This window comes from Homo sapiens, chromosome 5 (assembly GCF_000001405.40).
Source record: "Homo sapiens chromosome 5, GRCh38.p14 Primary Assembly".
In the NCBI taxonomy this organism is placed as follows: Eukaryota; Metazoa; Chordata; class Mammalia; order Primates; family Hominidae; genus Homo; species Homo sapiens.
Window position 1 is genome coordinate 39,538,224 of NC_000005.10, and position 6,000 is coordinate 39,544,223.

A 6,000-nucleotide genomic window follows, 5' to 3' on the forward strand; every position below is an offset into this window, starting at 1 on the left:
AAGATTTCTCAGGTTTCATATGTATGAAAAGTCAGGGACCAAAGATAGAATTGTATGAATTGCCAGAGGGCTGGGAGCCGAGGAAGAATACCAGTGAAGGAGGCTGTACAGCAATCAGTGAGATAGGGGACAGTTAGAATGTACTGGTGTTTCTGAAGAAGGACACAGAAGAAACTTTCAAATAAAAGGGAACTATCAACTGTGTGCAATGATAAAGAGAATTTATGGCTGGGCGCAGTGCCTGTAATCCCAGCACTTTGGGAAGCCTAGACACGAGGATCACTTGAGCCCAGTTTGAAACCAGCCTGGGCAACAAAGTGAGACCCCTGTCTCTACAAAAACTCAAAAAATTAGCCAGATGTGATGTCATGCACCTGTGGTCCCAGCTACATTGGAGGCTGAAGCAAGAGGATCGCTTGAGCCCAGGAGGTCAAGACTGAGTGAGTGAAGATCATGCCATTGCACTCCTGCGTGTGCGACAGAGTGAGACACTGTCTCAGAAAAAAGAGAGAATTTAAGTAGGGCGAAAGCTGAAAAGGGGTCACATGATAAAAAAAAATATAGTAAGTCATTTGGAATACTTTGAAAAGAAAAATAATTGTGTTTTATTTATGGAGTTTCTAGACAGTGTTTTCAAATGACAAAGTCAATTTTCCACTGTTAACCAACTCTAGAGATCACGCTAATTTTTCATGTACATCAAGCAATACAATCATACGAAAAAATGAAAGCTTGCTACTAGGTAATTAGGCATATGTCACATCATCATTTGAGCTGAATGGAGTCACCTGGCAAGCTTGATGCATGGAAAGACAGCTTGTATGGCTGAAACAGAGTGAGAAGAGAGGACAGATTTAAGAGATGGCATCAGATAGGACTTTGAGGAGAGAGTGCAGGTCTTGAAAAATGATTGTATGGACTAGGATTTCACTCTGAATGAGATGGGTAACTTAAGGAGATTTGGAGTAGAGGAATGACATGCTGTGACTTATGTTTTCACAGGATCACTCCAGATACACTGTTGAGAAAAAAGTATGGGGCAAGGGGAGATGAAAGCAGACAGACCAGTCTGGAGGCTACTGGGATCCAAAATCGACATAAGAGTTGCTTGGACTAGGGTGGTAACTGCAACTATGGAGATAAGAATTCAGATAGTAGATGTGTTTTGAAGGCAAAGCTCACAGAGAAAATACTAGAAAGAAATTAGAAACTGTGCATACACACATTTGTTTTTCCTAGGGCTTTTTTTTTTCTCTTTCAGTAAAAACCAGCTGATTGGAGATGGAAGCAATGTTGAGATGAATTGTTTTCCACACTGAAAGAAACACAACGTAGTTGGATGATAATGAGAAAACTGTAGTGGTAAGGAAAAACTTAAAACAGGGGCAAATGGCCAGAGCAATGTCCTTGAATAGATAAGAGGGGAAGGGAGCTATGCCAAGGGGAAGGAATGGCCCACTCCTGCTTAGCCCTCTGTACTCTGACCTGATACCTCCCAAACGCTTGAGTAGATCCCTTTTTAATGCTAATAACTCTGAAGGACGATCTATGTTAGTGGTTGTACTCTGAGTACTCACTGATGAAGAAAACACAGAATTATGACTTTTTTTTTTTTTTTTTTTTTTTTGAGATGGAGTTTTGCTCTTGTTGCCCAGGCTGTAGTGCAGTGGTGCGATCTTGGCTCAATGCAACCTCTGCCTCCTGGGTTCAAGCGATTCTCCTGCCTCAGCCTCCTGAGTAGCTGGGATTACAAGGGCCTGCCACTATGCCCAGCTCGACCTCCTGGGTTCAAGCTATCCCCTTGCTTCAGCCTCCAATATAGCTGGGACCACAGGTGCATGACATCACGTCTGGCTAATTTTTTGAGTTTTTGTAGAGACAGGGGTCTCACTTTGTTGCCCAGGCTGGTTTCAAACTGGGCTCAAGTGATCCTCGTGTCTAGGCTTCCCAAAGTGCTGGGATTACAGGCACCGTGCCCAGCCATAAATTCTCTTTATCATTGCACACAATCGATAGTTCCCTTTTATTTGAAAGTTTCTTCTGTGTTCTTCTTCAGAAACACCAGTACATTCTAAATGTCTCCTATCTCATTGATTGCTGTACAGCTATCAATGTATAGATATATAGCTCAGATATATATATATATATACACATATACATATATATATATATATAGAGAGAGAGAGAGAGAGAGAGAGAGCTGGGCATGGTGTTCCATATATACAGATATATATTCGTATTTTTAGTAGAGACGGGGTTTCACCATGTTGGTCAGGCTGGTCTCAAACACTTGACCTCAGGTGATCCACCTGCTTCGGCCTCCCAAAGTGCTGGGATTACAGGCATGAGCCACTGTGCCCAGCCTGACTTTATTATCAATACTAACAAGCATTAAATTACATTTAAGAAAAGTCATGCCATAGGCATTTTGTTATTGCGATTCAGACCATACCCAATGTCTGGTGCATATATAGACGAACATATCCCTTGAAACTCTAAAGATTTACGCCTACAGTTCACAATTTGGAAAGCTTGCTTTAGTAAAACTGCAAAGCCCTTGGTTTTCTGAATATGCCTGGGTTATTTTGTACATGCTGTTTCCTCCAGGAGGCCCTTTCATCTTACCCATCCTTAAGGGCATAGTATAGTTTCTCCTCCACTCAATCACAGTTAGACTTCACATTTTCCTTTGTGTTCCAATAACCATTTATTCTTTCTTTTTTTTTTTATTTTGAGACGGAGTCTCACTCTGTCACCCAGGCTGGAGTGCAGTGGCGTGATCTCGGCTCACTGCAAGCTCCACTTCCCGGGTTCACGCCATTCTCCTGCCTCAGCCTCCCGAGTAGCTGGGACTACAGGCGCCCACCACCACGCCTGGCTAATTTAACCATTTATTCTTGCACTTTGAAATACTCGTACTCCATTTATGTAATAATTGAATATACAACTTAAACCTTTGCACCCTTAAACACTAAATATATGTCATGTGCAAATACATATGTGTATACATATGTTTTCTCTTCTATCGTCTAAGGTTATTTCAGAATGAAACTATGTCGTGTTCATTTTTGTTTTCCAAGAGCGGATAGTTCAGACTAAATGGAACAGAAAAATGTGAGAGATTGGATTTATTTTGTGGTGTTCCAGAGGACAGAATTTAGATTAGTGGGCAAAGTGGAGAACAAGATAGACTTGGCTTAATAAAAGGAAAGACTGAATGACGTTTTGAAATTTTAAAAATGGGATAGACTGTTATTGAAGACAATGAGTAACTGAAACTAGCCAAGTAATTTTTCTCCCTACGACTATTTAAGTTCCTAGCACTATACCAAGTATATAACATATAGTATCACATTTAGTCTTTATAATGTTCTAACAAATAGAGGCATTTTAGTCATCCCGGTTTTACTTGAAATGGTCAAGCAACTTGGCTCAGTATGCAGCTTGTAAATGACAGTGCAGGAATTAGAACTTGAGTCTGGGTAATGTTCGGCTCTAGATATTTAACCTGAATGCCTTACTGTGTAGGAGGGATTCTCACGTTGGGTAGAAAGTAAAAGTTACAAAGGTTGCAAAGGAATATAAAATACTAAAAATATGCAAATGACCTAAGTAGCTTCCTATGCTTTGAGTATAGTTGAGCAGGCCTGCTTTCAACAAAAGAGGGGAGAGATAGGCCCTTGAAAGAGAGAGAAACCAGTCTATAGTGAGGGGCTCAAGATAAAAGTCTTTTACTTCTTTTTACCTCCATTTATTCTAAGATCGAAATTATCCTTGATTCAGGATGACAACGGGTCAAAGATCATTGATAACCATATTCTGATGAGATCAACATCCAGTGGGGCTTTGGGTAGCTTCGAAGACTGCTTCAAATGTTGAGAGGACACATGAGCCCTTGGTCACTGGGCATGACTCATAGACTATGTCATTAATATCACCACGATTCTCAGCATATGCCTGAAGTACAGCAAGCACTTTATTAATCTTATCTCCTTTCTCCTGAGTTATCTTTGAGTCCATACATATTCTGAAGTAGTTTTTTATTAGAATTAACATATAAAAGAATCGTTTTTTATTTGATAATGTATTTTCTATGAATATAAGAACTAATACTGTACATTTATATGGTGAGCCACTGATCTAGTTCTTCACAAAAGGAGAATGACATATTTTTGAAAATCTTTTATTCTTGATGTATTTATTCAAGAAAATATACAATTAAGTAGCTATATGGGACTAAGATGTTGAGCAAAAAAAAAAATCCTATATGAACTTTCTCATCATATTTCAAGATGCTTGCTCTTTCAGCAAATAATCTGACTTGACATTGAAAAGCTCGGAGGACTGAGGGAGGTATTACCATCTCATTCTATTGTTTCTGTTAGTTATTTTGATAATCCACTCAGCATAAGTGAAGAAAGCTTTATTCAAGTGAACATCAACTTCACTTTCCATTGAACTGTGACCTTAAAAAACCAATCTCTTAACTTCCTTTGGGGAGACATATGACTGACTGCCTTGTCAGCAAGCTCCTTTTCCTGAATCTAAGTTATTTCCTTTCCTACAGAGAAAAATTGCTGTTATCACTTCCAACTGTTTTAGTAATGGCCCTTTTCATGTACAGTAAATGCTTTTTTTTAAGTGCATGTCTCTTCCTTTTTGCTTATTAGCTCAAAATTTGTTTATCCTAAAGAAAAATGTAAGGATATAAGCACATTTCATGTTCTTTGGAAAAATCAGCATTTACACAGATTTCCGACACAAAAGACAGCTAAGAGTTCTCCAAAAAGTCTATTTTAAAACATACATTTCAAATATCTAAACACAAGAGAAGCATGGTCTAGTTAAATCCAGCATCACCCAAATACTTCCCAATTTCTTTATCTTATGAGTTTTTTTTTTTTCAGTTTTTATTCTATGTGGCTTTTCTCTAACACTTCACACTGGAACTGCTTCAGTCGGGCTGGACATTTCCTCTTTCCTTGGCTTTTGAGACACTGGTCCATCCTGATTTTTTTCTCTTGATATCTTTATCTCCAGCTTCTTCACTACCTCCTCTCCATCCTTTTTCAGTTCTTTAAGTGCTCTGTCCCAAGCTCCCTGCTCCCTTTACATACTCTAACTGGACATTCTCTCGTGCACTCACCTAGCTTCAAGCCTCCTCTATTCACTGATTGTTCCCTCATTTAGCCAGTCTGCTTTGAACTCCAGGCCCAAATGACTCCTGGGAAGCTCCTCCTAGATGTTCTTCATCACCTTAAAGTATTGCATCTCCAAATGAACTCATTCTCTTCTTCTCAGCCAGTTCTTCCTGTGTTTCCTATCTCAGCAAGAATATCTGCATATCTTACACGTCCAGACACCAAAGCTTAAAATCCCTTAGTCATTCTCAATTTAATTCTACTATTAAAGATTTCTCATCTCTGTTCCTTCTCTTCCTTCCTCATTGTTATATACTGAGTTCATGCACTCACCAGCTCTCCAGATCATGTCGTCTCCCAACTCCCTAGTTGCTCATCTATTTCATATTGATATTGAGACTTACTGTTAAAATGGTATTCCATGCATCATTATTTCACTTTAAAACCTTTAACAATTCTCCATTTTATATACAGAAAAATTCCAAACTCCTTAACCGGTTTGGAATTTCCCATTTTCAATTGGAATTTTCACTCCTTACCAGTTAAGGAGCTTGGAATTTGAATCAATTGATTTGGTGAGGCCCAGCCCTCACTATATTCTCACCACCCCGCTGACAGAGGCATAGGCATTAACTGCCTCACAATCTTTGTATCTTTTTGTCTTTGCTCATGCCATTATTATCTCTACTTGATATTATTTCCTCTATTTTTTTTTCCTGCCCGATGATCGATGCCATTCATTTTTTAAGAGCCCTTTCAAATGCCATCTCTTCTTTAAGTCTACCTTGCCTTCTCCAGCTTTGTATGTTCTCCCTCTGCCCTGACTGCCCTCAGCCCCTACCTTCACACTGGCATCCAC